The sequence below is a fragment of the Homo sapiens genome, chromosome 4 (genome assembly GCF_000001405.40).
Source record: "Homo sapiens chromosome 4, GRCh38.p14 Primary Assembly".
Taxonomy (NCBI): domain Eukaryota; kingdom Metazoa; phylum Chordata; class Mammalia; order Primates; family Hominidae; genus Homo; species Homo sapiens.
Genome location: NC_000004.12, coordinates 112,050,213 through 112,070,762, shown reverse-complemented (window position 1 = coordinate 112,070,762; position 20,550 = coordinate 112,050,213). Strand labels below are relative to the sequence as shown.

Sequence of the window (20,550 nt, the reverse complement as noted above, 5' to 3'; positions counted from 1 at the left end):
GAATCACATGTGGTCTTTTGTGTCTGGTTTCTTTCACTTAGCATTATATTTTCTTTATTTTTTAATTTCATTATTATACTTTAAGTTCTAGGGTACATGTGCACAATGCGCAGGTTTGTTACATATGTATACATGTGCCATGTTGGTGTGCTGCACCCATTAACTTGTCATATACATTAGGTATATCTCCTAATGCTATCCCTCCCCCCTCCCCCCACCCCATGATAGGCCCCGGTGTGTGGTGTTCCCCTTACTATGTCCAAGTGTTCTCATTGTTCAATTCCCACCTATGAGTGAGAACATGTGGTGTTTGGTTTTCTGTCCTTGGGATAGTTTGCTGAGAATGATGGTTTCCAGCTTCATCCACGTCCCTGCAAAGGACATAAACTCATCTTTTTTATGGCTGCGTGGTATTCCATGGTGTATATGTGCCACATTTTCTTAATCCAGTCTATCATTGATGGGCATTTGGGTTGGTTCCAAGTCCTTGCTATTGTGAATAGTGCCGAAATAAACATACGTGTGCATGTGTCTTTATAGCAGCATGATTTATAATCCTTTGGGTATATATCCAGTAATGGGATGGCTGGGTCAAATGGTAATTCTAGTTCTAGATCCCTGAGGAATCGCCACACTGTCTTCCACAATGGTTGAACTAGTTCACAGTCCCACCAACAGTGTAAAAGTGTTCCTATTTCTCCACATCCTCTCCAGCACCTGTTGTTTCCTGACTTTTAAATGATCGCCATTCTAACTGGTATGAGATGGTATCTCATTGTGGTTTTGATTTGCATTTCTCTGATGGCCAGTGATGATGAGCATTTTTTCATGTGTTTTTTGGCTGCATAAATGTCTTCTTTTGAGAAGTGTCTGTTCATATCCTTTGCCCACTTTTTGATGGGGTTGTTTGACTTTTTCTTGTAAATTTGCTTAAGTTCTTTGTAGATTCTGGATATTAGCCCTTTGTCAGATGGGTAGATTGCAAAAATTTTCTCCCATTCTGTAGGTTGCCTGTTCACTCTGATGGTAGTTTCTTTTGATGTGCAGAAACTCTTTAGTTTAATTAGCTTCCATTTGTCAATTTTGGCCTTTGCTGCTATTGCTTTTGGTGTTTTAGACATGAAGTCCTTGCCCATGCCTATGTCCTGAATGGTATTGCCTAGGTTTCACTTAGCATTATATTTTCAAGATTCATCCATGTTGTAGCATATGTCAATACTTTATTCCTTTTTATAGCTGAGTAAGTATTTCATGTTATGAATATACTACATTTTGTTTAACTATTCTTCAGTTGATGGATGTTTAGGTTGTTTGCACTATTTGGGTATTATGAATAATAGTGCTATGAACAATTGTGTACAAGTTTTTGTTTGATCATATTTTCAGTTTTCTCAGGTACATTCTTGGGAGTGGAATTGCTGGGTCATGGTAATTATGTTTCACTTTTTGAGTAACTGCCCAAGTATTTTCCACACTGGTTGCATCATTTTGCATTCCTTCCAGAAATTTATGAAAGTTACAATTTCTCCACCTCCACACTGACATTTGTTATTAATATGTTTTTTTAAAATTATAGCCATTTTAGTGAATGTGAAGTGGTGCTCATTTTCGTTCTGATACGCATTTCCCTAATGACTAAAAATGTTGAGTATTTCTTTTCATGTGGTTATTGGCCATTTGTATATCTTCCCTGGAAAAATGTCTGTTAGAATCCTTTCACCATTTTAAAATTGAGTTGTCTTTATTGTTGAGTTGTAAAAGTTCTTTGTATATTCTGGACACTAGACCTTTATCAGATATATAATTTGCAGCTATTTTCTTCCATTCTGTGTATTGTCTTTTCACTTTCTTGATGCACAAAAGTTTTTAACTTTTTCAAAGTCCAATTTATCATTTTTTTTCTTTGGTTGCTTGTGCTTATTTTTTGTTTTTTTTTTTTGGTATTACAGTGTAGTTTTAATACCAGCTAAATACAAACACAACACAATTGTTAGATATTCAGTTATGTATCCTGTGAAACAACATGCCAAGATCAACCTTGAGATATTTATAAAAACTAAAATTTATAAAATGTCTTCCTCAATTAACTCTAAGGACTCCATATACGAATTCAAAAATCAGACCTTATCAATAATCACATCAAATGCTGAGCACTGATTGAGCAGCAAAAAACCATTTCTAATTTTAAAATTTAATAGCTCCAGGTAAAAGCACGCTATTTCCTATGTATACTGTCTTTGTATTCTGCATAGAGTTCTAAGGTAAAGATTGTTCTGCTTTTATTAATTGCCAGAAATGATGTCCTTTTTGGCTGCTTTGTCATGGATCTTTCATTCTTCTTTCCTGATGGATCCTTAGTTTCTTTAGGAGGGGTTTATGTATTGGTTTTCGTGGAATTGAATTATAAAAGCCTGGTTCTGAATAGGAATTTCCTCTGTAAAAACCTCTATGTTTTCCTTTGGCATAACCATAGCTCTTTGGAGTGAGATGAGTTTTATTTTTAGTATTTTCCAACCATTCCTTAAACCTTTTTCTTGCTATTTCATTTTTCCCCTATAATTCACTTTGCTGTTGCTTGTCTTTTTCCTTTTCACACTCTTTAGCATTTTACAACTATTCTTAATGTTTTTATTTGCTTTTTCTTGCAAATATTCTTTCTCTAGTTCCTTCATTTCTTCATTATTTTGGGGGCCTTTTCTCTTTCTTCTTTTTCTGAACCCACTCCTTATGTTTTTCTTAATAATTTATCTTTCATTTACTACAGGCATGCACCACCATGCCCAGCTAATTTTTTTTTTTTTTTGTATTTTTAGTAGAGACAGGGTTTCACCATGTTGGCCAGGCTGATCTTGAACTCCTGACCTCAGGTGATCTCCTCGCCTCAGCCTCCCAAAGTGCTGGGATTACAGGTATGAGCCATCACGCCCAACTTGACATGTCAAATTTGATGTACAAAAGTCATTCTGCAACAATGTCTAGAAGATGGTTAAAAAATCGCTCTTAGACCTCAAAGAATAAGTCATGTCTAGATTAGGTGGCCATTGTCCATTTTGTCAGCCCTTTCAACATACTCTTTAATTTTTGAATAACCCAAGCAAGTAGGCATAAGAATCAAAGTAAAATCTATCATAGTCTCAACTGCAATAAATCCCCCCAGACTTGTTTCTGATCCATCAGCTATAACATTTCTCAGTCACTAGTTCCCCTAAATTGCTCTGCCTTCTACATGAATGTGGCTGTCATATTCATCTATAGATTATGCTTCTATTTCAGCCTGCTTATCCTCAGCTTTATGCTTTTCAGATGTACAGAAAGGAATCTCTACACCATAAGCTTTGGTAAAAATATGACTCAACCTCAGCTGAGTGTGGTGGCTTATGCCTGTAATCCCAGCACTTTGGGAGGCTGAGGCAGGTGGGTCACCTGAGGTCAGGAGTTCCAGACCAGCCTGGCCAACATGGTGAAACCCCATGTCTACTAAAAATACAAAACTTAGCCGGGCATGGTGGCGGGTGCCTATAATCCCAGCTACTCAGCAGTCTGAGGCAGAATAGCTTGAACCCAGGAGGTGGAGGTTGCAGGGAGCCGAGATTGCACCACCACACTCCAGCCTGGGCAACACAGCGAGACTCCGTTTCAAACAAATATATAACTCAACTTCATAACCTACCCAAGCCAAGCTCCCTGGGAATATAATCTGATTGAGTCAGGTCTCCAGGATCCTACCCAAAGGAATAGATAGTTATTTACCCCTGACATGAAGAGATCAGATAGATAAAACAGAAAAGAGGAAAAGAAAGAACAGAAAAAAGAAGATACCTGACAACAGAACCTTGGGCAACATCCACATTTTAAGGCAGGCACAGAATAAGAAGCAATGAAAGGAGGTGAGTAGTAGCATCAGAAACACTAAGTGGAGCATAAGAAGGCAACACAAATATTAATAACAGAATAATTATTCAACTAATTGTGGCATATTTTTTCAAATGGAAATGCCATAGAACAGTAACAACCAATATATACTTAGACCTCCACAACAGCCTAAATGTATCTTAAAGTACAATGTTCAGAACAAAGTCAGATGGTGTGTTTTTTAGGTATGATGCAAAAAGCATAACCAATTGGCTGGGCAGGCCAGATGTGGGTGGCAGGGCAGTGGAGATCTGCTACTCCACCTCCCAACACCCACTTCCCAGCTGATTGCAGGCCCAGGTCTCAGCCCTTCTCAGGTTCCTTCTCAGAAGGCTGAGGTGAGCAGATCACCTGAGTCAGGAGTTCAAGACCAGCGTGGCCAATATGGCAAAACCCTGTCTCTACTAAAAATCCGAAAAAAAAAAAAAATTAGTTGGGCATGGTGGTGCGTGCCTGTAGTCCCACCTACTCGGGATGCTGAGGCAGGAGAATCACTTGAACCTGGGAGATGGTGGTTGCAGTAAGCTGAGATTGCACCACTGCACTCCAGCCTGGGCAACAGAGTGAGACTCCATCTCAAAAAAAAAAATTGATGTGTCAGAAATTGAACTGATCTTCCCCTTCTAACTACTTTTCTTGGGAAAGTATACATAGTGCCACAACTGTTCTCCATATCACAAAGTCCAGAATCTCGGAACCATCTTTGATTCAATCTTCTTGCTTATCATCTATTTTTAATCAATTGCCAAGTCCTATTGGTTTCCTTTCCAAATATCACTCTTAGACATTCTTTCGTAGTTTGGTCTCTCATTTGCACCATTGTAATGACTTTCTTACAGACCTCCCCATGTATAATTTCTGACCCCTTCAATCCATCTTTCACATTGTCACAGAAGAAAACATTGTACCAGTGTACTGTACAGCAGAGAATCTACTAGCTGTATGTCACTATTTAAATTTAAATAAACTATAATTAAATACAATAAAAAATTTTGTTCCTCAGTTACACTAGCCACATTTTAAGTACTCCTGTGGCTAATTAGCGACTATATTGGACAGTGCAAATATAGGACATTGCTATCTTTCCAGAAAGTTCTATTCTGTTTAGAATATAGGCAGATAATAGTGCCTTTACTGTTTTAATAATTTGTTATCTTTCTCTCTAGCTTGTATCAGAAAGTGCAAGTTTCTTGATGTGGAATTTAAAGCCCAAATTATTTTTCTAGCATTGACTTCTTTTTTTTGAGACAAAGTCTTTCTCTGTCACCCAGGCTGGAGTGCAACTGGGCAAACTCAGCTCACTGCAACCTCTGCTTCCTGGGTCCAAGTGACTCTCCTGACTCAGCTTCCTGAGTAGCTGGGACTACAGATGCTCACCACCATGCCCAGCTAATTTTTGTATTTTTAGTAGAGACAGGGTTTCGCCATGTTGGCCAGGCTGGTCTTGAACCCTTGACCTCAGGTTACCAGCCTCTGGTAACCATCGTTCTACTCTCTATCTCCATTAGTTCAATTGTTTTAATTTTTAGCTCCCATAAATTAGTGAGACCATGCAAAGTTTGTCTTTTTGGGCCTGGCTTATTTCACTTAATGTCCTGTTCCATCCAGCCTCCCAAAGTGCTGGGATTACAGACATGAGCCACCGTGCCGAGCCTAGCATTGACTTCTAAAACTAGCTATAGTGGTCTATTTCCCTATTTCTCAAGCATTCCAGGCAATTTTGTGCCTCTGTGTTTTTGATATACTCTCTCTCTGTCTCTTTTTTTTGGCTGGGATGCTATCTTAGTTCCCCCTTTCTCACTCTTTGTATGTTTAAATCCTCCTCACTATCGGTACCCTGCTCAAATGATATTTCCTCCTAGGAATCTTAGCCCACCAGAATTATTAGCTTCTTTCTTCACTTTCTACATATTGTTACTTGTACTTCTATTTGGCACTTATGCCAGTCTCTCTTGTGTTATAATTATTTGTTTATCATCCATCTCTCCCATTAGATGGAAGTATATCTTGTTTAAGGCAGGAATGCTTCTAATTTATTTTTCCATGCTCAAAATGTTTAGTAGAGAGTCTTGGACACCTGAAGTATCTCAATAAATTGGTTCAATTGAATTAAAGTGATGGTTGTCGTGGACTATGATTAGGTCTGTTCAGAGAAATGCCCTAGGAAGGAATAATTAGAAAGTTCTTATGTTTTACAACAAAGATGAAGGTAAGGAAATGTTGCAAAACATAGGGCACAGAAAAGGGAGGTGATTCAACTACTGGTGCAAAAGGATTTCAGAACCTGGAGCCCAGACACTGCATTGGTGACAGGGCATTTTGGGCAGCAGCCTTAATATCTTTTGGGGAAGTGCCTGGGCATTGACTTGGCTCTTCTGCGGGGTAAAATCACAGGATTGACTTCTTCAGGCCCCTTGGACCTTGGGCCCAGCTCATCTTTCTCAGGCTGTGATCACGGTGATCACTTTGGGAATCATTGTGATCCCAATATAAACATTGTGATGTTCTTGCTGTGAAGAACAGAAGAGGACAATGCAAGACTAAATGTTCTCAGATTTATCTTTTTTTCTATGCTCTTCTCATATATTTTTTGATGCTAAGTGTGACTTTCAAATATAACTAATCTGTTTTTTCCCACTAATTTTACTTTCACTATCAATAAACCCAGCTCTGATCTTCTTGGATCAGGGGATCAGGAGCTAAGACAGTAGCAGAAGCAATGCAGGCAAAAATAATGCATGCAATTAATTATGTCAATTTCCTAATTATGAACTTGGTCTTAGTGGTCTTAGTGTTCTTTTTAAAGCAGCACATGTTAAACTGTGGCCTATAAACATGAGTGACAGAGAATACAAGAAATCTTGAAACTGAATAATTACATGTGCATTTTAAAAATTTATTTTTTATTTTTATGAGTACATAGTAGGTATATATATTTAAGGGGTACATGAGATATTTTGAGGCATACAATGCATAATAATTACATCAGGTTAAATGGAGTATTCATGACCCCAAGCATTTATCATTTCCTTGTGTTACAAGCATTCCAGTTATACTCTTTTAGTTGTTTTAAAATGTACAATAAATTATTGTTGACTGTATGTCACCCTGCTGTGCTATCAAATACTAGCTCTTATTCATTCTAACTATACCTTGGTACCCTTTAACCATCCCCACTTCTTCCCCACCCCTACTACTCTTCCTAGCCTCTGGTAACCATCATTCTACTCTCTATCTCCATTAGTTCAATTGTTTTAATTTTTAGCTCCCACAAATCAGTGAGACCATGCAAAATTTGTCTTTTTGGGCCTGGCTTATTTCACTTAACATAATGTCCTGTTCCATCCATGTTGCTGAAAATGACAGGATCTTATTCTTTTTAATGGCTGAATAGTGCCCCATTGTGGATATGTACAACATTTCCTTTATCCATTTGTCTGTTGGTGGATACTTAGGTTGCTTCCAAATCTTGGCTATTGGCAATTTCCGTATGTTGAACCAGCCTTACATCCCTGGGATAAATCCTATTTGGGCATGATGAATGATCTTTTTAATGTGTTGTTGAATTTGGTTTGCTAGTATTTTGTTGAGGATTTTTACATCAATGTTCATCTGGGATATTGGCCTGTAGTTTGCTTTTTTTTTGTTTTTTTTGATGTGTCTTTGTCCGGTTTTGCTATCAGGGTAATATTGGCTGTGTAGAATGAGTTTGGAAGTATTCCTTCCTCCTCTATTTTTTGGAATAATTTGAATACAAGTCGTATTAGTTCTTCTTTAAATGTGTGGTAAAATTCAGCAGTGAAGCCATCAGGCCCAGGCTTTTCTTTGCTGGGATATTCTTTATTATGGCTTTGATCTCATTACTTATTAGTGGCTAATTCAGGTTTTGAATTTCTTTATGGTTTAGTCTTGATAGGTTGTATGTATCCAGGAATTTATCCATTTCTTCTAGGTTTTACAGTTTATGAGTAACTAGTATATACTATGATCGATGATCATAGCAGCCACTAATGATCCTTGGAATTTCTGTGGTATCAGTTGTAGTTTCTCATTTTTTCATCTCTGATTTTATTTATTTGGGTCATCTCTCTTTTTTTCCTGGTCTGTCTAAAGGTTTGTTGATTTTTTTTTATTTTTTCAAAAAACCAACTATTTGTTTCGTTGATCTTTTGTTTTTTTGCCTCAATTTCATTTATTTCTGCTCTGATATTTATTTCTTTGACTAATTTTGGGTGTGCCCTGCCTGCCTGCCTGCCTGCCTGCCTGCCTGCCTGCCTGCCTGCCTGCCTCCCTGCCTCCCTCCCTCCCTCCCTCCCTCCCTCTGTCTTTCTCTCCTTCCGTCTTTCCCTCCCTCTTTCCTTCTTTCCTTTTCAATAAAGGTGATTTTCTCTGGTGGTATGTTTGATTTCTTGATTTTTATTTTTTGTGTATCTGATGTATGTTTTTTTTTATTTGAGGTTACCATGAGGCTAGCAAATGATATCTTATGACTCATTATTTTTAAGCTGGTGACAACACTAATTGCAAAAACAAACAAGCAAACAAAAAACTAATAAAAACTCTACATTTAACTTCATGTTCCTGCTTTTTAATATTTTGTTATTTCTATTTATATATTATTATGCTGTCTATGTCTTGAAAAGCTGTCATAGTTATTATTTTCGATTGGTTCATCTTTTAGTCTTTCTACTCAAGATAAGATTAGTTTACACACCACAATTACAGTGTTATAATATTCTGTGTTTGTCTGTGTACCTACTATTGCCAATGAGTTTTGTACCTTCAGATTATTTCTTATTGCTAATTAATATCCTTTTCTTTTGGATTAAAGAACTCCCTTTGGCATTTCTTGTTGGACAGGTCTGGTGTTGATGGAATCTCTCAGTTTCTCTTTATCTAGGAAAGGCTTTATTTCTCCTTCATGTTTGAAAGATATTTTCACTGGATATACTGTTCAAGGTAAATGTTTTTTTCCTTCAGCATTTTAAATATGCCAGGCTGTGACTAGAAATGTTTTCCAGGAGCTAAGACCTGGAATGGGGGCCTCAAAGCTTTGCCTGGTGCCCCATGTAAGTGTTGCTGAGCTGGTATGCAAGTTGCAAGACAAAGTTCTCTTAACTCTCTCCTCTCTCTCCAGGAGCTGTGAGCTTCATTACCTGTGGTTGGGGGAGGGGTGACAAAAGCACTCCCTTGGCCCCCTTGGCTAGTGTCTCACTAGTTCACATGCTCCCAAGTACACTGTCTCTGAGCCTGGCACAGCCCCAAGACTTGCCCAGGAATTGCAGTCCTTGTGGCCTAAACTGCCTTTCAAGTTTATTTAGAACTCAGAGCACTTTAGCTCCAAGGTGGTGGGGCTAGCTGGAGCTCAGGTTCCGACTACTGGGCTGGACAATTCCCCTCTGGCTAGGGCTGGTCTAAATGCTCCCTCTGTGGGTGCTGGCTGATTTCTGGCTCCTGTTGCTTTCCACTGTGACAGGGCTGCGCTGAGTTTTAATGCAAAGTCCCATGATCACTGTGCTGTCCCTCCCCCAAATGCACAGATTCTCTCTCTGCATTACACAGCTGCCAGGGATGGTGGAGGGATGTTGTAAGTGATTCAAGATTGTCTTTCCTACCTCTTCAGTGCCTCTTTCCTTGATATCATGTTAAACCAGTTACTGTGATCACTCACCTGATTTTTGGTGATATAAAAGTACTTTCTTGTGTGGATAGTTGTTCAATTTCATGTTCCTGCGAGGGTGGGGGACAGTGGTGGGCAATTGCTGGAGGCTTCTGTTCAGCATCTTGCTCTGCCTCCCAGATATGTGCATATTTTGGGAGAAAGGGTTTGCTTTTATTAGAATTGCAAAGGTTTTTGTGAACATAGAGTAAAAAAAATCACATTTAAAAAATATTCAAAATTTTTATTAATTCAATAAATATCTGTGAGAACATAATATGGGACAGACACAGTTTTGAGGCTGGGGTACAACTGTGGAATCAGGTAAAGATTCTTCTTCATCGACCTTATATCCTGATAAGAGTAATATTTCACAAGAAATGTCATGGACATCAGTTAGAGAAAACACAATGAAGCCAAAATACTCAGATTCTAATTTCAGAGATACATGTTACCCAAGAATATACAATGGAAAAGTCAGTCTTGGGGTTCTTATTTATGTAGTGTGGAATATCTGAACGGTGGATCACTTTACACTGGATTTCTCACACATTGTAGACATAACTATGGTGTCTTGAATGATTTGGTTTCCTTATTCTAAATGGTCTTCCAGCTTTGAGAGTCTTTGATACTCTGAGATAATGATAATGCATGTTGGTACAAGGCAGTCCTAGTGTGATTGGGGCCTGATCCTTCAAGAAAGCCCCTTCTCCATTGAGTTCTATTATTTGCTCTCTTCTTTGGCTAGAGTTCTGCTAGTCTAGGTCATCATTAGCTGCCACTGGATGGAGCTATAGCATCAGGCAAATAATCTTTTTATTGATTCCAGCAGTAATTTCCCTGACATTTAGCCCTCAATTTTCTTAGCTATAATAAGTAAAGATTGTTCAGTTCCTGCAATTTTGGGGTTGTAGTATTTTATTACTCACTTGGCTGTATTCCCTGAGTTCTTTTATAGATTCTTAAGATGTATTTTTTAAAGTTAGGTATGTTAATTTTGTTTTGGCAATTTTATGACACCCTGAAATAAAAAAATCCTGGAGTGTTGCAAACCAATACTGGTAATTACTGGAGTAGGTATATTAAATGCTGCTGACATGTGTTTTCTGCAACCTTAATAAGTAATGACATGACTTAAACTTACCTTACACTGGGTGACCATTCAGTGGTTTCCTGTTGTCTTGAGATAAATTGCAGAAATTGTAAATTGAAATATTTCTCAGGTTTCATCAGTTTCTATATACTGAAAACTATATCCAGAAAAATTAGTGTTACGTTCAATATCATATCAGAAAACTTAATTTTTTTTGAAGTTTTATCTATCTTCTATTATCTGCCTTTCTATTCATAATCTATTTTACTACTATACTATATAATCACTCTCTACTAATAGAAAATATTTTATGAAAAAATATTATCTCTCAAATCACCTACTAAATTATTACTTTTTGAATGGCCAATATTGATCTAGAATCAGACTCTTAACCAAAGGCTAATATAACACTAAGACCTATGCATGGTGAATTGTCATTATTATTTCATTTATGCCATCAGTAATGAAAGACTTGAGCCATTTAAATATAACCTTTCTTACCTGTATTGTTGTCCTCTGTAGGTTCATTGCTCTTCTCCATAAGCAAGAACGATGTCTCAGATCGGATGTACCCTTAAAGATTGACTAGCCAATAGAAATGCATATTTTTATATTCATCTGGTTGAACTGAACTGTAAATTCTGTGATCTTGTATTAGAAATGATTACTGCCATTCTATAAAGACCTTTTAAAATGTTGTTTCTAGGCATCCTTTACTTCTCGTTTAATAAATTAGTGATGAATTTCTAATAAAACAGTTCAATTAAAACATTTACACCTTTATATATAATGTTTATTACTTTGTGATTTAAAGACTTATAAAATAACAAAATCAGTTTCATGGAACAAGGCAGACAAGTCCACTACTTCTTCAAGTTGCTCATTTTTCTAGTTGCTTGCTTTTATTATAGGAGATGAAAAGAAACTTCCTGGGTTAAACATTGCTAAGGCACATTAATAATAATGAAACAGAAAATTCCAATTTTAAAAGCACAATAAGAAAATTTAAAAGATGTATCTAAACTATATGTTTGGCTATAATATTAGTTCCCTGGATCGTAGGGTAAAATAAAAACACATCTGCCCAACTGACTAATTCCCTTTTGACTGATTTACTCTTTAGATGCCACAGGTAACATTTGTTGAAAAGACAGTAGAGTATATGGGCAGAACCTGGGTTTTTTGTTGGACATGCCTGACACTGAACTCTAACTCCACCTCTTACTTAATTACTCTAACACTAGACAAGAAAGATCTGAAAAATCTGGAATACCAGCCCAAGAAATTTGTAGTTAACAGGAAATGCCTAAGTAGGAATCACTGATAGATTCTTGAGACAAGATGTCATATGATTAGAATATGTTTCTGTTTGTTCCTCCTTCAGGGATTAAAGCAGAAGCATTTGACTGGCTGGGAACAAGTCATAGGTCCATGTCCAGGCTGCCACAGGGCAGAGAAACCAGTGATTTATTTCCTTTTGCTCTTATAATAAACGGTGAGGACTCTACATCTAGCCAATAATACGTATCTTGGGGAACTACCTTGAAGATAAAAGAGGTTTGTATGCTGGCCATTAAAATGATGAATTAGTTTTTACTTCCTTATGTTCAGGTTCTGTGGCTGATTCATTACGCTCCTGTCACATTGTCCAGCATATGTGATCATTTACATACATTCATTCACTCTGTCATTAATTAATTTATTCATTCATAACTGAATGCCTGATCTATATATACCAAGCGCAGAAGCACAATTCACAGCTCTCAGGGAGCTTAATTTTATTTTGGAGAAATAGATGACAAACAAATGAACACAAAACAAAATAATTTTAGAGAGATATAAATAAGAGAATAATGCAATAGGTAGAGATAGAGAGTGATGGGGAGGTGGTCAGAGAATGCCTTTCTTATGTGTGTTTTTAACTAAAAAATTTAAACAATATTTATTGAACCAATGCATGGGCTGGAGGATTGACTACAGAGAAAAGAGAACCATAAGGAAATTGTAATAATCTAGGCAAGGAATCCTGAGGCTTTGTGCTTTCTGAGTATGATGTGCTGGTGTTTCTCTGTTTGCCCCTAAAGGTCTGTTCTTTGCCCTTTTGAATTCTGTGGGCCACATCACTTGAGCTCCATTGTCTCTGGCTTTCAGCTGGACTTGGTCAATGGAAACAAAACCAGAAGAATGAAGGGTAGGAGAAGAAAGAGGCTGGAGTATTTATTCCTCATGGCCTATCACCTACACTTCTGGGCCTTGGTTTTGGCAGTGGCTGCCTTCCTTCTTCTTGCAGTCACAGCACCAATGAGGTGGGCCCTCGCCCTGGGATACAGCTCTCTTTGCGTTTCAGTAACACAACTGCCTAATCTTGCTCCTTCAGGCCTCTAGGTGGTAACTGCTTCCTGTGGTTATGACTTCCTGCATGTTTCATTATTCCTTACACCTCTGTAGATAATTTTTTCATCCACCTCTTAGGAGTTAATCGTTTAGGTGTGCATCTGTTTTTTGGAACTGTGACTGATACAGATAAGCAGATGGAAAATAAGTGGTAGATGTGAGAGACAGTGCAGTGGTAGCTGTAGGGTTTGGCATCTGGCTTGGTGTGATGGGGTAGGAAAGGGGGAGATGGAGAAAGAATGGCATAGCAAGAGGTGGAGAATCATGTAACTCCAGAGAAAGGTTTGAACATTCAATAAAAAACTCATTCTAGACCCTGAAAAAAATGCATCTTCAGTAGAGTAGTGAAGATAGAAGCTAAACCGCTTCTCTTCCAAACTGCCTTCTTAGACTATTGCTGTTTAAACAGATTCTCAACTTTTTGAGTATTTATGACTTAGAGTCAGTGTTAAGAGAGGTTAATACTCCCTGTTCACCAGTGTTCAGCATATGTTGGTTTTCTTGCCTAAGGTGGAGAGATAGCAACTTGAGTATTTGGACCTTATAAGGATCTCAGACTTCTTTGTTGTACCCATTGTATTCGGACAGAAGTGCTTAGCAAACAATTCTAAGCAGTTTTTGTTTGAGTGTAGTAGATGTGCAGTGAGAGTCTTATAGCCACTGCATCTTGGACCTGCCTCCTTGTGGTGTGATGAGATGGGCAATTATAGTAGCCATTGTAATTATTTATGTAAATATCTATTTCCCAACTAGATTATGAAGTTATTTTTTTGAGCCAGGATCTCACTCTGTTACCCAGGCTGGAGTGCAGTGGCACGATCATAGCTCACTGCAGCCTCAAACCTCTGGACTCCAGCGATCCTCCCACCTCAGCCTCCTGAGTAGCTATAGCTACAGGCACTTGCCATCACGCCTGGCTAATTTTTTTATTTTTTATTTTAGAGATGGGATCTCACTATGTTGCCCAGGCTGGTCTTGAATTCCTGGCCTCAAGCATTCCTCCCTGCTCTGTCTCCTAAAGTACTGGGATTACAGGCATGAGCCACCACACCAGGCCAATTATGGAGTTTTTGAAGACAAGGATAGCAACTTATTCATCTTCAAATACACAGTGCCTCAAATTCTCAGTGTCTGTCATACTCAACTGCATTTGAGTGTTGTCCATCTCATGCTCTCTCTATCTTCCTGAGCCAATGCTCTTTGTCAGGGTTGTGCTTCAGCTGTTGATGGGACAACTGACTTTGGTCTCCTGTTTTCTATCTGGGTTTATTTGTGCACAACATATATTAAGGATTCAGCAGTCCTTATTATAGTAACAAAGAAATAATGATAGGCTGCAAATGTTTTTTCTTCCCTATGGCTATAAATATTAATAAATAGTCACTAAACTGAAAGTGATCCCAAAGAAGGGGGTTATGTTTTTCCTTCCATTGACTATTTAATTTGAAAATTAAGAAATGAATTCTGGGCCAGGCGTGGTGGCTCACGCCTGTAATCCTAGCACTTTGGAAGGCTGAGGCGGGCAGATCAGTGGAGGTCAGGAGTTCGAGACCGGCATGGCCAACATGGTGAAACTCCATCTCTACCAAAAATACAAACATTAGCCAGGTGTGGTGGTGTACACCTGTAGTCCCAGCTACTTGGGAGACTGGGGCGGTAGAATCACTTGAACCCAGGAGGCGGAGTTTGCAGTGAGCTGAGATCATGCCAGTGCACTCTAGCCTGGGTGACAGAGCATGACCCTGTCTCAAAAAAAAAAAAAAAAAAAGAAAGAAATGAATTCTGAAAATTTTTTTCAGTAATACAGAATTTCAAGATGGCAATGTCATAATAGTTGATATAAAGAGCTATAATTGATACTATAGTTTAATCAGAAAGAGGTCTTTTAGGAGTTAAGTATGGTATGCTTTCCTTTAAGGACTCTACTTCATAAAAATTCAAATGATTAAGATTCAAAGATTCAAAACACTTAGATAAGTTACATATCACTCATACTTTGAAATGTTTCCCATTAAGAAAAAAATTGATTTTGTGGGACTTGGCCATCTCTTCCAGGTTGCATTCTGTGTTTTCAGAAGCTGCTAGGACTCCTTTCTATTTTTTTTATGAGTAACTTTGTACTAGCAAACTTAAATATTTATCTACACTTTTTTCAAATGGCTAATATTCACTAAAGTGACACTTTAAAACAAAGAAAAATGGAGAATAATTGCTCCTTAGTTTTTGCTGGTCCTAAATAGCAAAAACTTATTATTAAGTATGAGTGGGTGAAAAGCTTAAACCAAACCAAAACAAAACAAAACAAAAAAAGCCTTGACAAAAGCACAAGAAATAAAGAATGAAGAACTGATACCTTCCTTTAGAAGGAACTGTAGCCCTGTAGCACCCAATGCTCTCTAATGCCATCAGCCAATTAGGAGCTGCCCTGAAGCCAAAGCTTGAGAAAATGCAGTGGAATTGGTTTAGTGGTGTTAATGGCCTGAAGGTAGCAAGAATTGCTGCTTAGTTCAAGAAGGTGGAAATTGACTACTCAATTTGGTGTGGTAATTAGGTCCTTAACTGATTTTTCTAAATTTGTCTATTTTTAACTGGAAGCTTTTTGTGCCAGTCTAAAAAATCAAACAAGGTTTAAACGGAATTCTTAAATATGCAAAAAAAATTGTGTTTTCTTCCTCCCCCATTAAAAAAAAAACCTCTCACTAAAATTAATTTAACTTTATATCTCTGCCTTCTTTGGAAATGCTTTTTCCCCAATGTTTCTGTATTTAATTCTTTCATAGCATGCAGTTTATCATTAACTTTGCTTCTAAAAAGTCACTTATATTTTTCTTAAGATATTGAGACTTACCAGATCATGAAGATTCATAGAAAGCTGTTTGTCAGCTTTTAAGTCCTGGCTTTAGTTTTAGGAACTCTGTGTTTTTTCCATTTCTCATTAACAGATTGATAAGGCAGGTATCCTATGTTAACTATTTTTAAAACTATGTTTAAAAAATTTTAAAAACATTTTTGTAGTTGTTTGAAATTTGCACAGATCATCTTTTAAAAATTTTAACCACCATAGCATCATCTAGTGGACCAATTACATAGCTGTAGGGATCAAACCTATTAGACGCGATAAACAATATAATTCCTTCTGTCATTTTGGTTATGATAAAGACCTTAAGGTGCTTTCAATACTAGGGTAAAATTAATTTTTGTATTCTACTATCCTACTGAAAAAATAATAAATATTCAATAGTTAATTTTAGGAGTCAATCCAAAGGTTAACCCAATAAATCTGAGGTTATTGTAATAAATAATTCAAACCATGACGAGCCAGTAGAAACAGATGGTGCTTCTGGAAGAACTTGAAAATTTTCCACTCTTAAATGAACATAAACCTTCTGCTTGGAGCTGTGCAACTACATGAACTTCTGTGCAGGCCTGTAAATCTATGAGGTTACTTTTTTTGTGGTCTTGAGTCACATTCTTTTAATTTGATGCTTCTCAAGGTATGGAAAGCAAAGGCTAACTCAAAACACAAGAGAACAAGTTCTGGTTATTCTCACTTTGTATTGCTATCTTTCCTCTTCCTGCAATTGCTTCCTGCTCCTCAGTTTTGCATGTAAGAATGTGTATTCCAGTAAGAGGACAAAAGGCATTTTAGCAAGCTTTTATTATACCTAAGCCTGGATTTAACTCCCTCAATAACTGAATAGGCATATAATCCCATGGATTTCTTAAGGTAGTGAGTTGAGTCTAGGTGAATTACAACATTTTTTTTTTCCTGAGCTTTTTCAAATGATTAGCAACACTTCCGCGGACAATTGTGTTTGAAGGGTTACAACTGGCTTTGATGAATAATCTGAAGCAGAGAGCAAGTAAATATGCAAGAAAAGAAAGAAAATGAAAATGAAAGAAGAGAAAAGAAAATAAAGTGAATGCATGTGATAGCACCCTGTTTTTGACCATATATTTATGCTGATAGGTTGATTTCTTTTGACCAAAAAAGATGTTGATAAAGCTGTAAATTTAAGATGTGGTTGAAGATGAGCTTGTCAAGAGTATTTTGTTTTCAATGAGAGATAAGTCATTGACTCATAAAAATTGTATTAGAAGTAAATACAGGATATGTAGTTGTCATCTAATTTATATTGGTTCGATTTTATTTCTTTCAATTTTTATTGTTAATTTTTTGTAACTGTCCATCTTTTACTTATATATAATTGAACATATCACTTCATAAGGAAATGCAATTACTTACACAAATACCTTGTCTGAATATTTCTGCACTAACAAGTTGCTGACACTAAAAAATACAAGGATTCACCAAATGCTGGCCAGAATGTGGAGAAACTGGATCATTTGTACATTACTAGTGGGAACGTAAAATGTACAGCCACTTTGGAAAACAATTTGGCAGTTTCTTAAAAACACTAAACTTGCAACTACTACACGACCCAGCGATTGTGCTCCTGGGCATTTATCCCAGACAAATAAGATCTTATGTTCCCAAAAAATCTTTCCATGACTGTTTATCATAGCTTTATTTGTAATGGCCAAAACTGGAAACAGCCTAGATGTCCTTCAACAGGTGAATGGTTGAACAGACCGTGGTACATCTATACCATGGATTACTTCTCAGCGATGAAAAGGAACAGACTACTGATTATATACACAGCAGCTTGGATGAATCTCCAGAGAATTATGCTGAGTGAAAAAAGCCAATCCTAAAAGGTTGCATACAGTATGACTCCATAAAAAATAACATTCTTGAAATGACAAAATTATAGAAATGAATAATAGATTACTGGTGGATTTAGAATGGGGGAAGAGCAAAGGGAAAGTGGGTGCGGCCATGAAAGGGCAACATGAGGGATCCCTGTGATAGAAATAATCTGTATATTGGTTATATCAGTGTCATGATCTTGGTTGTGATAGTACCATAGTTTTCCAAAATGTTACCATTGGGAGAAAATAGGTAAGCTGTGTATGAGATCTTTGCTTTTCTTTCTAAAAATTTTTATTGAGATGGAGTCTTGTTCTGTTGCCCAGGCTGGAGTGCAGTGGTGTGATCTCAGCTCACTGCAACTTCTGCCACCTGGATTCAAGTGATTCTCATGCCTCAGCCTCCCAGGTAGCTGGGAGTACAGGCATGCACCACCACACTCAGCTAATTTTTTTGTGTTTTTAATAGAGACAGGGTTTCGCCATGTTGGCCAGGCTGGTCTCGAACTCCTGATCTCAGGTGATCTGCCTGCCTCGGCCTCCTGAAGTGCTGGGATTACAGACGTGAGCCACCACGCTCAGCCAAGGTCTCTGTTTTTTTAAACTGCATGTAATCTATAATTATCTCAAAATAAAAGTTTAATTAAAAATATAGAGTAGGGTTTACAAAAGATAGCTCACTGCTGAATTGATGAATCTGAACTCAAAATATATTCTAAACTTTCCTATTTAAATTAAGTCTAATAACTTAAAAGTTTGGATCATACATCATTCTTACTATGAAAGAAATACAATTTTGTTTTATCTTTAGCATTAAAAATGAATTTTATCATACCGCTGCAATATTCCTGTTGTGAAAATGATTGTATTACTATTAGTAAAGGGAAAGAAAAAAAAGAAAATTAATATTCCCTAGTGTAAATAACATAATTCATTAAGAATACAGATGTTGGTAAAGTGACTTTATCTTGTGTTTTCATCACTGCTGTTTAATAATAGAATTTTAAACTATATAAATAATTAAACTATATAAATAATATGGTTTCAATAAATTCTGATGAAACAGAACTGTTCTCTTTTAGTGAAAGTTTGCAGAACAACTTCTTAATATGTTGACTGATTTCTAATCACCTTGCCTTTGTAAGTGGCATTACCATGTAGAAGGTCCATACCTATCTTTTGTGATTAAAGCTATAGGAGGGATGATTTTCTATATCTGTGGATATTTCATATGTTGAAAGAGCTAAGGAGTAAAAATGAACAGTGTGTCTACACCAAATCCAAATAGAGAATTGAAAACTGAAATATTCAGCCAACTCTGAATTAGTTGACCATGCCAATCCATGTATCTATGGAAATTGATTTTATTTTACCAAATAGTAGACTGGATATTTAAGTTGTCATAAATTAAACACAATTCTCAGTGAGTTTTTAATCTCAGAATTAAAAAAGAATCAAAATATCTTACTGGTGACTCAAAGATGCTGTAGTGTCTACATATTTAGTGGTGTCCTAGATGGTTGCACACATCCTTACGACCATAGAGAATTTGATAGTCATATTTTACTACTACTCTACAAGGTCCCCTTAATTTCACATAGTATATTAGCTGATATAAGAAAAATTTATTTTAACAGTACATTTGGATCTTAAAAATTAAAAAAAATATATTCTACTTCCACATGTTAAGGAAAATTCTAGCATGTGAAGAGATATTCAACATTGGGGTGGGTTAATTAGATAATCTGGATTAAAAAAAAAAACTTCTGCTGAATTCACTCATTTATTGACAATGCTTCCTAACTGGCTCCACCCTTAGCTGATGGACAGACACTTGATCTGTCTTAAAATATCTAATCTCTTCTTGATTTACTGGCATAAACTCCTTGACAGGTGTTTTTGTTTGTTTGTTGTGACCCATGACTTCAGGAAAGGTTGCACCCTTGGAGCAGTGGTGACTATTACACTCAGAGCTGTTTTTCTTGTGCTTTGTATTTCATCACAAATAGCACTTCTATGATTCAGATTAGAAGAAGGGATATCTATTAAGATATTTCTGTTCTATATGTTTACAAGACTTATAAGAATAAATGAGTTAATGTATGTAAATGGTTTGGAATAGTGACTGACACATAGTAAGTGCTGTAAGTCTTAGCCATTATTATTATGATATTTGCTATTATTACTATTACTTGCTTGTCTCAATTGTTTGGCAAGTATTCTGCAAAGCTAACCCTGTAATGTCAGTATTTTTTCCTCATTTCAAGCACATCATTGCAATCTCAAATAGCTATACATATGTATTTTGAATTTCAGTTTCAATTCTAATGTAGAAAGTAATTTAAAAATACTTTTAAACTGTAAAATATAACATGCATACAGAATAGTCCACAGAACAAAAATATAGCTTAATGAGGCCGGGCACAGTGGCTCACGCCTGTAATCCCAGCACTTTGGGAGGCCGAGGTGGATGGATCAAGAGGTCAGGAGTTCAAGACCAGCCTGGCCAACATGGTGAAACCCCGTCTCTACTAAAAACACAAAAAAATTAGCCAGCATGGTGGCAGATGCCTGTATTCCCAGCTACTTGGGAGGCTGAGGCAGAGAATTGCTTGAACCCCGGATGCGGAGGTTGCAGTGAGCCGAGATCGTGCCACCGCACTCCAGCCTGGGCGACAGAGTGAGACTCCGTCTCAAAAAGAAGAAAAAAATATAGCTTAATGATTTGTTACAAACTAAACCCATGGAACTCACTCAAGTCAAGATTTAGTATTATCACCCT

At 37.0% G+C, this 20,550-nt stretch overlaps 1 long non-coding RNA gene and 1 pseudogene across 4 annotated transcripts in view, besides 1 other annotated feature; one reads left to right on the top strand and one right to left on the bottom strand.

Moving 5' to 3' along the window:
* LINC02945 (long intergenic non-protein coding RNA 2945) overlaps positions 1–20,550 on the top strand; it is a 308,805-nt gene that overhangs the window by 41,508 nt on the left and 246,747 nt on the right. The gene's annotated exons all lie outside the window — the stretch shown is intronic.
* Positions 2,235–2,757, bottom strand: CCDC34P1 (coiled-coil domain containing 34 pseudogene 1; annotated as a pseudogene).
* Positions 9,628–9,841: a silencer, noted in NCBI's record as "fragment chr4:112982078-112982291 (GRCh37/hg19 assembly coordinates)". NCBI's record gives its function as "represses an EF-1alpha promoter that drives an FKBP-Casp9 reporter gene in an ReSE screen in K562 erythroleukemia cells {active_cell/tissue: K562}" and the evidence as "EXISTENCE:reporter gene assay evidence [ECO:0000049][PMID:32094911]".